This window comes from Homo sapiens, chromosome 16, assembly GCF_000001405.40.
Source record: "Homo sapiens chromosome 16, GRCh38.p14 Primary Assembly".
In the NCBI taxonomy this organism is placed as follows: domain Eukaryota; kingdom Metazoa; phylum Chordata; class Mammalia; order Primates; family Hominidae; genus Homo; species Homo sapiens.
In genome coordinates, this window is record NC_000016.10 from 70,946,619 (window position 1) to 70,966,964 (window position 20,346).

The following is a 20,346-nucleotide window of genomic DNA, read 5'->3' on the forward strand; positions in this document are numbered from 1 at the left end:
CACGAGGTGGGTGCTAGGTAGTGAGGATGAGGAATGGAGGTTTCGATGGGGCCAGGTGCTTACCAGAGTTAGTCATCTGTAAAGTGAGAAGATGGCTGTGGGAAAGCAGGATTGTGATAGAGAGATCTTGGAGTTTATGGGTAGCGGTGAACAATGTCTAGGATGTGGTCAGGGAGGTAAGTAGCTGAGGAGGCCATGAAATTGAGAAGCAAGAGTGTTGGATTAAATATCATTCAAAAGATCAGGATTGTGATTTTTGTACATTGATTTTGTATCCTGAGACTTTGCTGAAGTTGCTTATCAGCTTAAGGAGATTTTGGGCTGAGACAATGGGGTTTTCTAGATATACAATCATGTCGTCTACAAACAGGGACAATTTGACTTCCTCTTTTCCCAATTGAATACCCTTTATTTCCTTCTCCTGCCTAATTGCCCTGGCCAGAACTTCCAACACTATGTTGAATAGGAGTGGTGAGAGAGGGCATCCCTGTCTTGTGCCAGTTTTCAAAGGGAATGCTTCCAGTTTTTGCCCATTCAGTATGATATTGGCTGTGGGTTTGTCATAGATAGCTCTTATTATTTTGAGATACGTCCCATCAATACCTAATTTATTGAGAGTTTTTAGCATGAAGGGTTGTTGAATTTTGTCAAAGGCCTTTTCTGCATCTATTGAGATAATCATGTGGTTTTTGTCTTTGGTTCTGTTTATATGCTGTATTACATTTACTGATTTGCGTATATTGAACCAGCCTTGCATCCCAGGGATGAAGCCCACTTGATCATGGTGGATAAGCTTTCTGATGTGCTGCTGGATTCGGTTTGCCAGTATTTTATTGAGGATTTTTGCATCAATGTTCATCAAGGATATTGGTCTAAAATTCTCTTTTTTGGTTGTGTCTCTGCCCGGCTTTGGTATCAGGATGATGCTGGCCTCATAAAATGAGTTAGGGAGGATTCCCTCTTTTTCTATTGATTGGAATAGTTTCAGAAGGAATGGTACCAGTTCCTCTTTGTACCTCTGGTAGCATTCTTATACACCAATAACAGACAAACAGAGAGCCAAACCATGAGTGAACTCCCATTCACAATTGCTTCAAAGAGAATAAAATACCTAGGAATCCACCTTACAAGGGACGTGAAGGACCTCTTCAAGGAGAACTACAAATCACTGCTCAAGGAAATTAAAGAGGATACAAACAAATGGAAGAACATTCCATGCTCATGGGTAGGAAGAATCAATATCGTGAAAATGGCCATACTGCCCAAGGTAATTTATAGATTCAATGCCATCCCCATCAAGCTACCAATGACTTTCTTCACAGAATTGGAAAAAACTACTTTAAAGTTCATATGGAACCAAAAAAGAGCCCGCATCGCCAAGGCAATCCTAAGCCAAAAGAACAAAGCTGGAGGCATCATGCTACCTGACTTCAAACTATACTACAAGGCTACAGTAACCAAAACAGCATGGTACTGGTACCAAAACAGAGATATAGATCAATGGAACAGAACAGAGCCCTCAGAAATAACACCGCATATCTACAACTATCTGATCTTTGACAAACCTGAGAAAAACAAGCAATGGGGAAAGGATTCCCTATTTAATAAATGGTGCTGGGAAAACTGGCTAGCCATATGTAGAAAGCTGAAACTGGATCCCTTCCTTACACCTTATACAAAAATCAATTCAAGATGGATTAAAGACTTCAATGTTAGTCCTAAAACCATAACAACCCTAGAAAAAAACCTAGGCATTACCATTCAGGACATAGGCATGGGCAAGGACTTCATATCTAAAACACCAAAAGCAATGGCAACAAAAGCCAAAATTGACAAATGGGATCTAATTAAACTAAAGAGCTTCTGCACAGCAAAAGAAACTACCATCAGAGTGAACAGGCAACCTACAAAATGGGAGAAAATTTTTGCAACCTACTCATCTGACAAAGGGCTAATATTCAGAATCTATAATGAACTCAAACAAATTTACAAGAAAAAAACAAACAACCCCATCAAAAAGTGGGCAAAGGACATGAACAGACACTTCTCAAAAGAAGACATTTATGCAGCCAAAAAACACATGAAAAAATGCTCACCATCACTGGCCATCAGAGGAATGCAAATCAAAACCACAATGAGATATCATCTCACACCAGTTAGAATGGCAATCATTAAAAAGTCAGGAAACAACAGGTGCTGGAGAGGATGTGGAGAAATAGGAACACTTTTACACTGTTGGTGGGACTGTAAACTAGTTCAACCATTGTGGAAGTCAGTGTGGCGATTCCTCAGGGATCTAGAACTAGAAATACCATTTGACCCAGCCATCCCATTACTGGGTATATACCCAAAGGACTATAAATCATGCTGCTATAAAGACACATGCACATGTATGTTTATTGCGGCACTACTCACAATAGCAAAGACTTGGAACCAACCCAAATGTCCAACAATGATAGACTAGATTAAGAAAATGTGGCACATAGACACCATGGAATACTATGCAGCCATAAAAAATGATGAGCTCATGTCCTTTGTAGGGACATGGATGAAATTGGAAATCATCATTCTCAGTAAACTATCGCAAGAACAAAAAAACAAACACCGCATATTCTCACTCATAGGTGGGAATTGAACAATGAAAACACATGGACACAGGAAGGGGAACATCACACTCTGGGGACTGTTGTGGGGTGGGGGGAGGGGGGAGGGATAGCACTGGGAGATATACCTAATGTTAGAGGACGAGTTAGTGGGTGCAGCACACCAGCATGTCACATGTATACATATGTAACTAACCTGCACATTGTGCACATGTACCCTAAAACTTAAAGTATAATAATAAAAAAAACAAAAACAAGAAACAAAAAAACCCAAAAGATCAGGATTTCTAACTGGTGCTTTCCTGGATAGAGGTGATTTATAAATAAATGAGCTTATGGGCCACATCTTCATTATGTAATATACTTACACATTTTTTCCCATTTGCAACATGACTGAAATATCAGTCATTGGAAAACTCATGCTTTATGAGAGCTTCAAGAAGACCAATCGCCATCTCCCTGGGTAAGTGCTTTCACAGGGGGACACTGTTGTCCAGATCATTTGAGTCTTGTCACACTGGGGCAGTGCAGGCAGCCACATATGGGGTCTATGAGCTCTGATTTCTACTGTGATCTGTAGGTTACCTTACTGAAAGGAGTTTGGAGTCAGAATTGGGATGTTCTACTGCCTTTGAAGAATTCTAAAAAGCTTTATTTCCCTGTCCAGATGGACAGAACAAAACCCAAGGAAATGAGTTTTGATAACACCCTATATGGTAACAGAGAAATAAGTTTTAGTTCATCCATAAACGTTTGGGTAAAGAACACTATACTGGATCCTGGAAAAGAGGGTGAAAAGGATAGTGCTCCAGAAGAAAATGAATCAATGGTTTCTGTTTTCACGGTGTCAGAACAACGTAAGACTGAAGTGACAATCAGATATCACCTGGCACAAGTTCAGCCCTGTGGGCTGTTCCATCCAACCTGCAGGTCTCCTCTCCCTTGAAGACCTTTGCCTCTGCTCCATCCTCTTACCTGATCTAACATGTGGGCCTCCTCTCCTACAAGAACCTACATCATTAATTTTATTTTTTATGTACTTTTTTTGAGATGGAGTCTTACTCTGTTGCCTAGGCTGGAGTGCAGTGGTGCCATCTTGGCTCACTGCAACCTCCACCTTCTGGGTTCAAGTGATTCTCGTGCTTCAGCCTCTTGAGAAGCTGGGATTACAGGTGTGCACCACTAAGCCCAGCTAATTTTTTTATTTTTTATTTTTAGTAGAGACGGGGTTTCATCACGTTGGCCAGGCTGGCCTTGAACTCCTGGCCTAAAGTGATCCACCCACCTCAGCCTCCCGAAGTGCTGGGATTACAGGTGTAAGCCACTGCACCCGGCCTAAGGACCTACATCTTTATTCCACCCACCTGCTCTATCCAATACACAGGTCTCATTTCCCATGAAGACCTACAACTCTTCTCCATCCATCTGCTCTTCCCAGTGGATGGGCCTCCTCTCCTACCAGTACTTTCACTTCTGCTCCATCCACCTCCCCCACTGTCCCTATAGCACTCTCAGGCTATAACGAGATCCACCCTTAACCCTTCCTGTTTCTCCCATTCTATGTTCTCTTCTTAATTCCTTCTCTACTGAGGCTGGGCTTCCCATACTGATGGCACCCTCAGCTCTCTTGCCCCTCGTTATAAGAGCACACCCCCTCTCCTCAATGATGACATTCTTCTCTCTCCACTCCTGAATGGGAGCCGCCAGGTCCACTTAGAGAAATCTTGCCAGGTGTGGTGGTTCATGCCTGTAATCCTAGTTCTTTGGGAGGCAGAGGCAGAGCCAGGAGGATCGCTTGAGGCCAAGAGTTCAAGACCAGCCTGGGCAACACAGCGAGATCCCATCCCTACAAAAATTTAAAAAATTAGCCAGGCATGGTGGGACATACCTGTAGTCCCAGCTACTTGGGAGGCTGGGGTGGAAGGATTGCTTAAGCCCGGGAGCTCAAGGCCGCAGTGAACAAAGACTGTGCCACTGCACTCCAGCCTGGGTGACACAGTGAGACCCTGACTCTAGGGAAAAGGGACAGAGAGAGAGAGAGAGAGAGAGAGAGAGAGAGGGAGAGAGGGAGAGAGAGAGAGAGAAACTTCACAACTATGAAGTTATAGTTTCCAGTCTTGGTTGGGCCATGATCATTCCCAACTATTTATTCCTTGTCCATCACCAATTTCTGCTTCTATACTGGAAGCAGTGCTCTGCCACTCCCCTCGAGCATGCTCTGCAGCCCAAGCCTCCTCGTTGCTTCCCTCAAAAGACCATGCCTCCTACATGCATTACAGCACCATTCAACAAGGCCTTCTCCAACCTCCATTCTCCACTTGGCTTCTCCCACCCTTAGCTGTGTCTGTTTTTTACCTTTACTGACCCCAAAGGAAGCCGGTTCTCTTCTCCTTTAATTGTGCTGAATTCTGCCCTTCTTACTACCTCCCAAGATCTCATTCCCTCTTGAGTGGATCGCCACATGACACTTCTCCAGGGGTTCCATTCTTTATAGACCTGCTTCTACTTCTTTTCTGAGAATGGACTCTCCTGACCCTGGCTTTGCCCCTCTACTACTCTCTCATTTTTTTCCCTTCACTTTCAAACATCATAAAAGCCTACACTCACTTGATTTCACTTCTCCACCTACAACTCACTACTCACTGCACCCACTGTCTCTGGCTTCAGCAGCACCGGCCAGTTGGCTGAGACTGCTAAGTTCCTTGGCGCATTGCTCAAATGCTGCAACTTCTTTCTGACGTTCCAGGACTCCCCCTGCAGCCCTCCCACAACTTAGATTAATGGTTTCATCCTTAACTTCCTTTAGAATTTAGGTTGAGCCATAGGAAATTGCTGTTATGGAGTTCTAAAAGGATTGAATTTTGGCAATTTTCTGTGGCTCAGCCTAATTCCCTTTTCACACTTCTTTTGTAACTAATTTCACTTTATTGCAAATGTTTGCAAATGTGGTTATCTCCTTCATCAGACTCTTAGTGCAGGGATTCTGCTTTCTTTATTTGCACTTTGCCAGTGCCTACAGCATAAAAGATGCTTGCTGAGCACCAGCTGGGTGAATGCCCCTTTCAGAAGGAGGGGCGCAGGGACAGTGCTCAGGCTGGCCTGGCGAGAACACTGCAGGGATGAAGAGCACTGATCTGGCTGCAGGATGCTGGGGAGGAGGAAGATCCCAGCCCTTCTGCGGTAGAGCCCTGATTTGTACCTGTGGTGTTTCAGACTGGTGTGAGTGATGCTGCTTCTGTGACCCGGAGCCATGGCTGTCTGCCTTGCTTTTGGTGATCACCACGCTCCCACGAACACTCTTTCCAGGTTTAATTTCTGGGGCCACCAGAGTCATCTCGGAGGCTAACTTGCCCAAGGTGTCAGTGCTCAGTCGTCCTTGCCCTATGACGTTTTGACCCACAGCTGCCTCCTGGGCTATAAGGAGAGGGTGAATTTTTATTAAAAGTCACCTTAGAATCACAAAAAATGACAGTGGGGATGGCACTCTGAAGTCCGTTCTGTCCAATAGACATATAATGTGAACCACATATGTATGTAATTTAAACATTTCTAGTTGCCACATTAAAAAGGTAAAAATTAATTTTAGGGACATATTTTAACCCAATATACACAAAATGTGATCATTTTAACATGTAATGTATAAAAATTGCTACTGTGTTATTTCCAAGTCTTTTCTTTATATCACATCTTCAGGGTTCCCATGGGTGCTGTACATTCACCGCACACCTCTGTTTGGACCAGCTGGGTTCACGTGCTCAGCAGCCCCTAGGGCCAGTGGCTACTGTATGGCACAGGCAGGTTCGGGTTCACTGCCACCACTTCATTCCAGCCTACCAACTCCACAGTGACAACAGATGCAGGAGAGATGTGAGGGCCTAACCCCTCCATTGCAAAGGCTCTATCCAAAGACCCCAGGGACCTCCCAACTGGGAAATTCAGCCACCTTCTACTCAGGGCTCATTCTATTTGGGCTTCTGGCAGTCTCTAATTCTGTTCATTTCTTGATTCAATGAATCCTTTATGAATCTTTATTATGTGTCAACTATGCCAGGCATTCTTCCAGGTGCTGGGACTACAGTGGGGAAAATTAACACAAGCCCCTGCCTCCAGAGCTTACATGGGGTCGGGGCAGACAATAAAGGAGGTAGATCAGTATTAGGTTAGCTAGACAAGTGGGCTGTGAGATTAGGCCAGCAGGAAGGCTCCCTGTCCAGCAGGGCTCTGAGGGACGTGAAACTCCTCCTCGCTTCTCCCTTTCCTAAGGCTCTGGGGCCCTTTCCTTGACTTCCCTGACAGTCCCTGTGGCCCTGGCTCTGCTGTCTCTACTTCCCGGCTTCCCCATGACCCCTCCTGAAATGTAGGTGTTCCCCATGGTCCTAACCTGCCTCGTCCAGCAAACATTCCTCCTGGCTCATTCTGGGCTTTTCTGGCTGCTTCACCTACCCTAGTGGTTTCATGGAGAAAGACTCTCCCAGCTGTGTCTCTAGCTTGATGTTATTTTCTCAGACCAGGAACTCAAATTCACCCTTAGGCACAGGACATAAACATGGCTCCACAGATCACTATGAAATGTAGACTATTTCACAGAAAAGGAAATAAAAAATTTAAGAGAACCAGCATTAGGGCATAGCCAGAGGTTCTCACTAAAGAGCTATTTCTCTTATCTTCCCAGCAAAGAATCTTCCATTTCCCTAAGTGTCCCACGCAGAGGTATTGAGGGGAGGGGACAACCCTGAAAGTCCCAGCCAGTTTTATCAACTAGCAGGCTGGAAGCATTCTTGGGATGACGTCATGCCATGGGCACTGACATAGGAATGCTTCCCCTCTGAGCAGGCGCTCTGCTTGGTGTTTAGTATATTTTCCCATCAAGCAGCTGCTCGCCTGCCCTGAAGGTCCTCAAATAACCTGATGGAGCCAGAATTCTCAACTTTTTGTAGGAAGGCCACACCAGACCTCCCCACTATGCGATTCCAAAACTCAATTCAGGCTAGGCACAGTGGCTCAATCTTGTAATCCCAGCACTTTGGGAGGATTGCTTGAGGCCAGGAGTTTGAGACCAGCCTGGACAACATAGCGAGACCCTAAAAATTAGCCAGGCATGGTGGTGCATGTCTGTAATCCCAGCTACTCTGGAGGCGAATGTGGGAGGATCGCTTGAGCCCAGGAGGCTGCAGTGAGCTATGATGGTGCCACTGTACTCCAGCTTGGGTGACAGAGAGATACCTTGTCTCAAAAAAAAAAAAAAAAAAAGAAAGAAAGAAAGAAAACAACCCCCCTCCCCCAAACCCAACCCAATTTATTTTCTTCTCCAGCAAACTTTTTCTTCCTCCTGTGTTCCCTATCTAGGTACATGACATCGCTCTCTCCTGGATTCTGTGGCTAGGAAGCTGGGCGTGGCCATCTTGAATCCCTCTTACTCCTTCAATTCTCCACCATGCAGCTGGCTGTCGGGTTGGCCGGCCCAGGCCCATTTGTCTGCAGCTTCACTATCGCTTCCTTTACATGATAGTCAAGGGCTACCTTCCTATTGTGATTTTCTGATCATTTTTCCATAGTGTGAAACTGTCCCAATAGCTCTTTTCCTTGAACATAAAACTCAAATTCCTAATCTTGGCATTCAAGGTGAACAATGATTGGCCTCAACCTGCCTTCCCACCCCTAATTTATGACCAGTTTCCCTGCTTTTTTGGTCTGGAATGTCCTTGTCCCCATCTTTGCCTACTAATATTCTCTTGCTTCTTCAAACCCATTTCCTTGAAAACTTCCCACATCACCCTTGTTGGAACCCATTCATCCCAAAGTCGCTCTTTCAAAGAAGCTGGTATTTCTGTTGCAAAATTATTTTCCTCTGCTCTGAGTGACCGCATGTCTGCTTCCCCCACCAGGTGTCAGACTTCCAAAGGTGTGGGCTGTGTCTTATTCATTGTCCTGGTCCCCACAGTGGCAAGAGCACGCTGGCATTGGGCAGGGCAGGAGACCCAGGAATGCTTCGTGAAGAGAATTCTCCTCTGGGCTATGAAGTTGGCAGCATGCTGTAGGGCAGACTTCAACCAGGCTGTGGGAGGAGAGCTCAGTGGGGCACAGAGAAGATGGGTGTTGTCAGTGGGGGTGTTGGTGACTTGACCACAAAAACCCAAGAGAATGGGCTCTTACCAGCCTCCTCTCCTTCCTTCACGGACTGCTCTATGGCAGCCCTGATGCAGAGCTCACGGGCCCGGATCCCTGGGATGTTGTTGCTGTTGGCCACAGCTTCCAGCACAATGGAGTCGATGCTCAGGCAGGCTGCGTTGTAGTACTTGGCCACGCTAACGGCATTGGCTGACTTTCCTATTAAAAAGACCAGGGGGTTGAATTTCACGGTGCTCATTTGCTCAGTGTCCCAGAGAGAAAAGGTCTCAAGAGCAGAGGTCCCTGCAAAGTGATCTCTCTGAGTGCTCTGCCTCCTTCCCATGTGGCTGGAGGTGTTAGCAGCAAAGAGAAGGAAGACCTCAGCCTGGAGTCAGGGCTGTGGGTCTGATTCTAACCCTGCCACTGATGCGTGCATGCTGTGGCAATCTGCATCCTCGCTGGGTTTTCCCTCAGTTTAAAAAACAGATTCTTTTTTTCTTTTTTTTTGAGATGGAGTCTCACTCTGTCACCCAGGCTGGAGTGCAGTGGCGAGATCTCAGCTCACCGTAACCTCTGCCTCCTGGTTTCAAGTGATTCTCCTGCCTCAGCCTCCCAAGTAGCTGGGATTACAGGCACCCACCACCATATCTGGTTAATTTTTTGTATTTTTAGTAGAGATGGGGTTTCACCATGTTGGCCAGGCTGGTCTCGAACTCCTAACTTCAAATGATCCACCTGCCTTGGCCTCCCAAAGTGCTGGGATTACAGGTGTCAGCCACTGCACAGGGTCTGTTTAAGAAACAGGTTCTATCAGATGATCTTTAAAATACTTTGTAGTTCCTCCTGTCTCTGATTCTAATAGGAAAACTTTTTATTTTAAAGAATAACTTGTGTTGATTTCTTTTCTCATTTCAAGGTACTTTCATTACAAAAAAAAAAAAAAGCAGACAATTCAGATATAACAGACAAGAGAAAAGAAAAAAAATCCATCATCCACTCATTCAGGGATAGTACCGTTAGCCTATGGTCGCTAAGTACACATGTAACTGTATTTCTTATAAAAAAAGAAATAGGTGATGTGGTAGGCTGAATAATGGCTCCTCCAAAGATTTCCACCTGCAAATATGTTACCTTTTAGGGTAAAAGAGACTTTGCAGATGTGATTAATTTACAGATCTTGATATGGGGGGTTAGCCTGGATTATCCAACCGGGCACAATGGGTCCCCATGAGAGGAGAGCAGGAGGGTTGGAGTCAGAGCAGGTCAATCAACCATGGAAGTAGCAGGAGAGACTGGGAGATGCTATGCTGATGGCTGGGAAGGAGGAAGAAGGGGCCAGGAACCAAGGGTTGCAGGCAACATTTCTAGAAGCTAGAAGAGACAAGGAAACGGATTGTCCCCCAGATCCTCCAAGAAGGAACACAGCCATGCTCACCCATTTTAGACTTCTGTCCTCCAGACCTATGGGAGTATAAATTTGCATTATGTGAAGCCATGAAGTCTGTGGTCACTTGTTATAGTAGCAACGGGGCACTAATACTAACTACACACCGTGAGTATGGCACCCTTTCTCATGTAAAATGATATATCATGAACAACTTTCCATTAATTCAATACACTTGTATGACACTGTTTTTATTTTGGTAAAATATACATAACAGTTGTCACTTAAATCATTTATAAGTATATGATTTAGTGGTTCTAAGTACATTCACACTGCTGTGCCCCCATCACCACCATCCACCTCCAGAACGTTGTCATCTTCCCGAACTGAAACTCTGTACCCATTAAACTATAACTCCCCAGTACCCACCACCCTCCCAGCCCCTTGGAAACCATCATTCTGTTTCTCTTTCTAGCTCTATGAATTTGACCAGTCTGGGTACCTCATCTAAGCGGAGTCATACAGTGTTTGTCCTTTTGTGACTGTCCTATTTCACCTTGCATAAGGTCCTCAAGGTTCTTCCGTGTTGTAGCATGTGTCAGAATTTCCTTCCTATTTTTTTTTTTTTTTTGAGATGGAGTCTCGCCCTGTAGCCCAGGCTGGAGTGCAATGGCACGATCTTGGCTCACTGCAACCTCTGCCTCCCGGGTTCAAATGATTCTCCTGCCTCAGCCTCCTAAGTAGCTGGGATTACAGGCGCCTGCTACCACGCCCGGCTAATTTTTGTATTTTTAGTAGAGACAGGGTTTCACCATGTTGGCCGGGCTGGTCTTGAACTCCTGACTTCATGATCTACCCACCTCAGCCTCCCAAAGTGCTGGGATTACAGGCGTGAGCCACCACACCCTGTCCATTTCCTTCCTTGTCAAGGCTGAATAGCATTGCATCATACCATATTTTGTTTTTTCCATTCAGCCACTGATGGCCATTTGGATTGTTTCCACCTTTTGGCTATTGTGATTAATGCTGCTATGAACATGGGTGTACAAGACACTGTTTTTAATGGCAATAAAATTCACCATATAAATGTACTGTGGCCTGATTAACCAGTTCCCCATATTGAATGTTGTAATTGCTCCCGAGTTTCTATTACAGCATACAGTGCTGCAGTGAACATTCAAGCAGTTCATCTTGTCCACATCATTAATTATTTTTCCTAAGAAAATTTTAGAAGTAACATTGTCAGGTCAGAGTCTGCACATATATTTCTTTCTCTTTTTAAATAATTTAATGTCTGGGATTTTTTTCTCTAATATTTTAATATTTTTAAATTACGGAAAGAATACAATTCAAACAATTCAGAGATGTATACGTTCCAAATGAGGTGTCTTCCCTCTCCTTCTTAATCCCCTCTCTGAGGTCAGCAATTTAACAGTTTGGGGATAATCCTTAATTATATGGATTATAAACAAAAGAGTCTCTTATTGCCTTCAAAAGTTGTATGTTCTAACTTCACCATAAACAAAAGGGGAAAAATAACTTATATTGATCAGTCTGATTTTGACATAGGCTGTTAAGCTGTTCTTCATGAAGATTCTGTGAAAGCTGTAAGGTTCCATAAAAATGTCAGGCTTGTTATTACTGTAGTTCACACTCTAATAGGCTTTTCACCTGCAGATGAGAAGTGACTGAGCCTCCACTAGAACAGAGCTGGTGGCTCTTTCCAGGTCAGTGCCTTTTTGGTGTTAACTCTCCAGCTGTCTGCAGTTTCTATGGATCCATCAACCATCCTTCTGACATTCCTTTTAGTGCAACACTAAAATGGCCTGAGCCTCTGCAGGTGTGTTTGTGTAGGGGGTCTTCAAAACATTTCCAGTTATGTTCTTACTTGCCTCGTTTGATTTCTGCCTGTTGCCCACACATCTGGCCTTCTACTTTTTAGGTCCTGATTTACAACTTCTCAAGGAAAGGTTCTTCAAAGGAAGGGGTAATGAATTGTGACATTTTTAGATTCCTGGACCTCTCAGTGATTAGAATATCAAAAATGCTCCATAAATGTTGTCTGTATGAATGATAGTAATTGGGTCAGAACAAGATTTCATGGCCCTTCGTCAAGTAAGCTGAAGCTAAGAGAGGTGGCAGGGCATCCTCCCAATATCCCTCTGCTCTGCCGCTTTCTAACTGGGTGACCTTGGGCAGATGTCCTTGAATTTCTCTGAACCTTAGCTTCCCATAAGGTAGGGGAAATCAAATTCTCTTTTCTGAGTGGTTACGAAGTTTAGATAGACAAATGGATGGGAAGGAGCTCTGTGAACTGCAAATTACTATACAAATAAGATTTTTTTTTTCCCAATGTAGGTGATTCTGCTCCTTTGGGTTTATGGTAAAGTTAGCACATGTAATTTTGGAGGTAATAAAGGATTCTCGTTAAAAAATCCTTTCTTTATCAAGGGCTCATCCCTTGACTGGTTTATGGTTAGGAAAATATTCCTTGAGAATATTTAGCATGTGATGGAAGTTTCTTTTCAATGAGGATTCACACTGCAGGTATGGTTATAATTGTGAATGCCAACAGTCATCATAGTAATAATAATGATAACATCAACAGCTTTTCGTTTGAGTATTTACTATGTGCCAAGTATTGAGATAAGCATTTTATATAAATGTTCTCATTAAATTCTCATGACTACCCTATAAAATAGACAGCGTTAATACCACTTTACGGACAGGGAAACTGAGCACAGACAATTTAGTTAATTTTCCCAAAGGCACACAGCTATTAATGTATATTCACTACCCTATGCAGTTCCTCAAATAAAGTCATTAGTATTTGCCATGACCACACAGCTGATGTTGCCACTCTGGAAGCCGCAGAGTTTACAGAGAAGACATGGCACTGCTGGTCTTAACCTCCCCTCAGAACTGTTGCCTACCTGACAAGGGTGTCCCATGAATGATAATGGCGATGCCTTTCCGGTTCTTGGCCAGGCGGCCTTCTGCAGAAATGTCAATGCCCAGGTGGCGAGCGATTGCTTTGCTCACTGGGTTGTTTTCCACCTCTCCAACTTCCTCCATGGAGTGGCTGTCAATGCTCTGAAGCTTGTCAGCTGCAAATTTAAAATATATGTGTGTGCACACATGGCATGCATGCTACACAGCCGGAATTTACATGGGTACTGATGGAAATGGGAATGGATATTTCTTTTTAAATGCTGTTTTTTTTAAATGGCAAATATTGCAGCAGTCCCCACTTGTAGTGTACGACTAGGCCCTTTTGGGCTAATAATTTGTTTATAGCTACTAAAATAAAAAAACAGATTTTTTGACCCCACTTTCATTTTGGGGAATCTCTCTTGCTGAAAAGTAGAAAGGACATTTGTGTGGAGAGGAGGATGGCTTACAGTGCAAAATATTAGAAACTAGTGAAATCTGCAGCATTAAGGGAAATGGCTGAATAAATGATGGTAAATTCATATTATAGAACCAATACACAGCAGCTATTAAAATGATGACTTCGGTATCACAGACTAGTCAACTATAGCCCACAGGCCAAATCTGTCCTGCTGCTTGTTTTCGTAAATCAAGTTGTATTGGAACATAGCCATGTCCTTTGATTACATATTGTCTTTGTCATCACAGCCACCCTCCAAAGGCAGGGTTGAGTAGTTTTGGCAGAGACTGTATAGCCTTCAAAGCCCCAAATATTTACTGTCTGGCCTTTTATGGGAAAAGTTTGCCAAACCTTGATTTATCAAATGCATTGGCCTAGAGGAACGTCTAGAAAAAAGCAAGCTGCAGGATCATATGTGTATTAATTGTAGAGTAGTGTGCAGCCAGATACATATAGTCATCCCAAATACATTCAGTGTTTTAATAACAAAACTAGGATGACACTCTGAATTTTGCTCTGTAACTTGCTTTTCACATAATATATCTTGGACATCTTTCCATTTACTTAAATACAGGTCTAGCTCATTCTGTTTTTCTTTTTTTTCTTGAGATGGCATCTCGCTCTGTTGCCAGGCTACAGTGCAATGGCACAATCTTGGCTCACTGCAACCTCCGCCTCCCGGGTTCAAGTGATTCTCCTGCCTCAGCCTCCCAAGTAGCTGGGACTACAGGCATGTGCCACCATGCCCGGCTAATTTTTTGTATTTTTAGTACAGACAGGGTTTCATCGTGTCAGCCAGGATGGTCTCGAACTCCTGACCTCATGATCCGCCTGCCTTGGCCTCCCAAAGTGCTGGAATTACAGGCGTGAGCCACCTTGCCCGGCCTAGCTCATTCTTTTTAAATAGCTGCTAAATAACTCCCACTGTATGGCTTTGTCACAATTTCACTAGTTCCCTACTAATGGGCATTTAGATGGTTTTCATGTTTTTTCATCCTAAGCATTGTGGTATGCTTTCTTCTACGTGGGATGTCCAGGGTCAGCCCTGGAGGAGCCCAGGCATGGGGAGCAGAGTCAGGGTGTATGGGGTGGGGAGGGCTGCTCGGAGAGACCAGGAACCACTTGGGGGCCCATCAACATAGCCAGGGTGGATTAAATATGAGGCATGGAGCCAGAAATTTCTGTCTTTAATCTCAGTTTTGCCATTACATGTTCCTGACTTCATTTACTCACCTGGTTGATGAGGGCTATGAATGATGACTTAGCTCCCTAAAGATCTCCTGAGCCTCACCCATGATTCCTATTCTGGGGGTGGGCACAGGACAAGGTTGCTTATGCCTTATCATGGTTTATAATGACCAGCAAATGGCCCCCATGAACCCAGTTTCACTGAATCTAATTTTCTGAATATGGTTCCAACATCTTGCAAAACTTGGGGAAAATAAATGCCAGAAAATGGGGCCATAATGCTGGGAGGTCAAGAGAAGAGCTCCCTAATGGCCCAACTGGGGGGACACTGGGGAGAATGTCCCCCATCCCCATAATGTTTCTCTAAACACCTCCCAGTCTGCCAGAATCTTAGCAGGAAAGATTCAGGCCTTCATTTAGTCTAGTTGAAACACAAATTACTGTGCCAAGAATGTATTATATGCTAAGCTCATCACCCAACTCTCAAGCTTGTATCCTACTGTGAGTGGCAGATCAGAGCTTCTCCGGAGGGCAGCTGTGGTGGGCAGGGCAGGATGGGCTAGGAGCCATACGAGGAGGCTTAGAGAAAGTGACAAGGTACTGAATATTGTCTTCCTATTTCTGCTTGGAGAGAACTAGTATCAAAACACTAAAATGCTCGGTTACTTTGGAAAATGATTTTTTCCAGGCTTTCCTCATCCTCCTCTTCCTCTAGGTAGGTTTTGGACTCGACCAACAGGGCGTGCCATTCTTCCAGGTTGGATGTGACAGAGATCCCTCGGCTCAGCGATGTCCTCTTTGTGCTATTGGAGGTTCCCTGATCTGATGAGGTTATATCTTCCTCTTCTGCCAGGTAGCAAAGGATGAAAACACCAGGGGAAGAGTTGGGAGGGGGACAAGGGAGATGGAGGCAGAAAAGGAAAAAAAAAGATGAAGAAGAGATTCACCATACGGGCTCCCATCACCCTGGACCATTCAACCCAAATAAACAAGAACTGCAGTCAGTTGGCTATTCCTCAGTCTCTCTGTGCACAGTGTTTCTACATTTTAACATTTGTTTAGCAACTAAAATTATACATTTGCTTAGAAAATGTGGAAAACTCAGAAGAGCCAAAAATGATGGAATTCAGCTACAAAAAGAGTTGGAGATAGACAAAGAAATAGTGACAGAGAAATTGTACCAAATTTTATCATACCAGCACAGGAGAGCTGCAACCTCTCAGATTTTTAATTTTTAATTGTTTGAAACTAAGCTTGGGGTTATATTGTACATACTGATGTGTAGCCTGCTTTCCCTTTTAATTTATCATGACCATTTCCTGTGTCATTGTTAGGGACAGCTATCCTTTCGTTGGCCCAACACCTTCCTCATTGATTGCCCATTGTTCTATAGCATTTCAGGGGTGCAGTGGGCTGTGACTGTATGAGGTGATCCCCCTCTACTACAGGGCAAGACATTCCCTTTGTCACACAAGGTAGAAATTGAGCCTGAGGGGTTGCAGCTCTCTCATGAATGGTGGTCCTGTGACTTGGGGCTGTGGGCCTTCCCTGGAAGGAAGGGAAGCAGAGAAGGATGATCTATAGCGTGAGAGCAGAGCGAGTAGACAAAGCTCATCAGAGAGGCACTGGTGAGAAGCAGGGCGTGTGCCTTTCTGGGTTCCCTCTGCACCCACTGATCCTGGCTTAGATCACCTTCCATTGGGCCAGATGGGTAAGGGAGCCCACAAACATGGTGTGTGACGACAAGGGGAGCACCAAGGCCTTCTCTGCCTTTGGGAGGTCCTTTGTACATTGCAGCCCTTGCTGCCCTGCCTTGGGCTGCTGGGCAGTCCCTCTGATGGTGTGTCTCTCCTCACACTCTCTTCATGACTGTGAGCTCTCAAAGGTAAGGATTCATTGCATTTTCTGATTTTTTTTTCCCCGGCACTTTTTTCACTAATTTTTTTTTCCCACCACTTTAGCTCAGTGCTTGCAACACAGTGGGTCCTTGTGATGGGCTTAATGGTGTCCTTTCCCAATTCATATGTGGAAGTCCTAACACCCGAGTATCTCAGAATGTGACTGCATTTGGAGATAGGACCTTTGAAAAGGTAATTAAGGTAAGATGAGGTCACATGGGTGGGTCCCAATCCAGTAGGACTGGTGTCCTTATGAGGAGAGGAGATTAGGACACAGACACACACAGAAGGAAGACCAGGTGAAGACACAGGGAGAAGACAGCCAACTGCAAGATGGGATTCAGAAGAAAGCAACCCTGCTGCCACTCAGCCTTGGACTTCTAGCCTTCAGATTTGGGAGAAAAGAAACTTCTGTTGGTTAGGCCACCCAGTGTGTGGTACTTGCAATGGCAGCCCTAGCAAACTCAAGGAACGTGACTAGGAGACGGGGTGGGTGGCAGCTGTCTTCTCTCATCTTCTCCTTTTAAGCCAAACTAGTGGTCTCTGATTAGCTTCTATTTCCTGGACAATGAGACAGGTCCAAGGGCAGGAAAAATAACTTCATTCAATCCATTAATGCATTCACTCACATAGCACCCATTTATTGGGCACTATTGGGTCTACTGCTGTTCCATGCACTAGTTTTACACATGGGGAATATTTGATCAATGCCTTTACGGGGACTTCTTGGTTAGTGGTGGAGGCATTGTGAAGAAAATAATTACGTGTATGACTGTTACACAGATGAAAGCAAGTAAAAACAAGGTGGGTACATTTCTAAGATGAGGTTACAGAGAAGCAGGAAAGAGAAGATGCATCCTCATAAGTGACACAGTCCCACAAGTCAGCGAGGAACCTTTATGGCCAAGCACACAAGAGCCCCTGGGCAGATGATGGGATAACTCAGGGGTGGTGGGCCAGAAAGGGCACAATTCTGAGAGCACAGGACAGCTCTGCGATTGGAGTTTGGCCTGAGGACTATGGAGGGGCTCGTCTTCTGCTTGTGTGAATGCCCACCCCCTGCTTTTAGGGCACCAGTTTCTACCTTGTGTGACACATTACTTTGCCTTACCTAGGTCTACCCATAGGAAGCAGTGGTTACCATCATGGACTCTGGAGTCAGAGAGCCCTGGGCTGGAATCCTGATTCTGCCACTTAAAACTGTGGACCTGGCCTCTCTGCGCTTCAGTTTCTCATCTGTACGTCCAAAGCCCTCAACGTGGCATCCAGCAAGTGTTCTTCCATCTGTATTAGCTGTTTTTAGGTCATACTACCCCAATTGGGCCCTAGTGACAGCAGAATGTGTTCCAGCCTCTGCATCCATAAAATGGGGATAACGCGACCCATTTTGTAAGGGTTAGAAATAAAATACACAAGGCAGGCAGCACCTGCCTGGCACCTGGCAGGTACTCAGAAACAGGTTGGTCCCAGAGCAGGGGTAATTCAGAGGGGCAAAGGCAATGGTTAGCATGAGGTGTTCTCCACATTGAGTTCTCACCATTCTCCTGTGCCAGATTCTCCAGATATTTCGCCCTCATCTGCTCCTCTTTTGACTTCTTTATCTCTTTGAAGTACTCGTACAGTTCTGGGGGCAGCTTCTCCCCAGGGTTGCGGGGAGGCAGCAGCAGGGTGTTGTAGGAATCATAGCCCTTCAGCTTCCGCAAGATCTGCTCGAGGGGAGAAAGAGAATCCTGTTGGTCTCACTAGAAATCTCCCTGCAGCTCTAAGTGGGTCTGCTCACTGATTTTATAAAACTCCTGCTCCTGCCTGAGGCTGAGACTTGTACAAATACTTTCTGGATTTCAAAGAGTGGGGCCCTTTGGAGAGGTGTCAGAAGTAGGGCTGAGCTCTGAGCCTGTGGGGATACATGATCTTTATTTTGCTCCATTTCAGCCTGGGCATTTCACCTGTGGAAATATGTTTTCTTCTTGTTTTAAAACTAATATACACTCTTTTCCTTTCTTCCCCATGACAAAATTTCAGAACTCCATTATCTACCTTGAGTGACAATTCATTCTTACCAACAATATTGTGGTTAGCAATTTTACATTAAGCAAGGGTGTGGTCTCATAAACAGAGGATCCAGGGGAAAAAAAGAGGTAAAATAGTATTAAGTACGTGTATGTGTGCACATGTGTGTGAATGTGTATTAGGGCTGCCAGATAAAATACAAGATGCCTAGTTAAATTTGAGTTTCAGATAAACAATGAATAACTTTTTAGTATAAATATGTCCAGTGTAATATTTGAGACATACTAAAAAATATTTGTTATTTATCTGAAATTCAAATTTAACTAGACAGCCTGTATTTTTTTCTCCTAAATCTGGCAATCCTAGTGTGTATGTGTATTTATAAGACACAGCAAAATTAAGTTTTAAAAAGCATTTACTTCTTCTACAACCTGATTTATTGGTATCAAAAATCTGTTTTGTTAGGTAACCCTTCTTCAGGATCCCCATTTTTAGTTATTTGAACACCACTGCTAATAAGCTCCATGTAAATATTTGAACACCACTGCTAATAGGCTCCATGTAAAATAAGATCCATGTAAATTTTAGAATTTACATGGAAGGGCAAAATTAAAGCATTAATGAAAAGGAATAAAAGAAGGCTATTGCCCTACCAGATGACAAGCCTTATCAGGAAGCTGTAGTAATAGACAGAGTGGCAATGATGCTGGGAAAGACACATTGACCACTGAAATAGAAGAGAGAGCTCAGAATTGACCCATTTATTTATGGAACTGTGATAAAGCATAGAGATGGCATAGAGAATCTGTGGGCAAAGGAGGCAATATGCCAAAGCCTGGCTGATACAGGGCACAAAGGCCTGGCAAACAAGCAGCAACTGGGGCAACTCCAAAGGGCCAACCCAGCCCCAGAGCTTCCTGTGCGATTAGCTGAAGTCTCCATTGCCATCTCATCACAGTTCATCTCCCTCTGCCCAACTCTGCTGTCCTATTCTTCACAGATGTTCCTGAGAGTGCCCTCAAGAAACCTCCCACATGCAAATCTCAAGTCTTAGATTGTGCTTTCCACAGAGCCTGACTCTTGATAGAAGGTGCTGTGCCAACAGAAGCCACTAAGGATCTCATAAATTCCTAATGAAAAGACTCTCCCCAAAGGGGCAGATTCCCATTCTGAGAAAAACTTCTGGGAGCAGACTGCAAACTAAGCAGGCTATCAACACTGGAAGTAAAGAAGACAGAAGATTCAAAGGCTGAGTGGGGGAGGGTCCAGAGGAAGCAGAACCCCCACTCAGCTAAGCCACCTTCAAATTTCTGACCCACAGAAAGCACGAGATGACAAATGTTTATTGTTTTAAGTTGGTAAGTTTGGGGCTAATTTGTTATGCAGCAAAAGATAACAAATATAGCGTTGGGCTTCATGGACAAGAATACCTTATGAGGAAACAATGGAGCAACATATTTAAAATAGTCAAGTGAAGAAAATGTAAGCCAAGAAAATTGTATCTGATCTTCAAAAGTCACAGATAAATGGTTACGAATGTTTGAATACTCAGAGAATGTCATTCCCATGATCTCTGCCTGAGAAATCCACCAGAGAATGAGCTGTAGACAACCCAGAAGTGATTGGAGAAGCTCCACTGTAAGGATTGGTGTTGGGCATTCAATATGTCTTAGTGTAAAACTAAGACTCCATGATGGAAATTAAGTCCTGATACCTTAATACTATAAGCTCTGACAATATAGATAAAATACAAGTAGGAAATAT

At 44.2% G+C, this 20,346-nt stretch overlaps 1 protein-coding gene across 1 annotated transcript in view; it reads right to left on the reverse strand.

Moving 5' to 3' along the window:
* The window catches only part of HYDIN (HYDIN axonemal central pair apparatus protein), a 428,639-nt gene that overhangs the window by 144,535 nt on the left and 263,758 nt on the right, over nucleotides 1–20,346 (reverse strand). The window contains exons 37-41 of the mRNA NM_001270974.2: nucleotides 18,110–18,278; nucleotides 15,341–15,520; nucleotides 13,029–13,202; nucleotides 8,757–8,930; nucleotides 5,803–6,017 (exon numbers count right to left, since the gene is read on the reverse strand). Coding sequence (NP_001257903.1) covers nucleotides 5,803–6,017; nucleotides 8,757–8,930; nucleotides 13,029–13,202; nucleotides 15,341–15,520; nucleotides 18,110–18,278 — 912 coding nt within the window. The remainder of the gene's footprint in view (nucleotides 1–5,802; nucleotides 6,018–8,756; nucleotides 8,931–13,028; nucleotides 13,203–15,340; nucleotides 15,521–18,109; nucleotides 18,279–20,346) is intronic.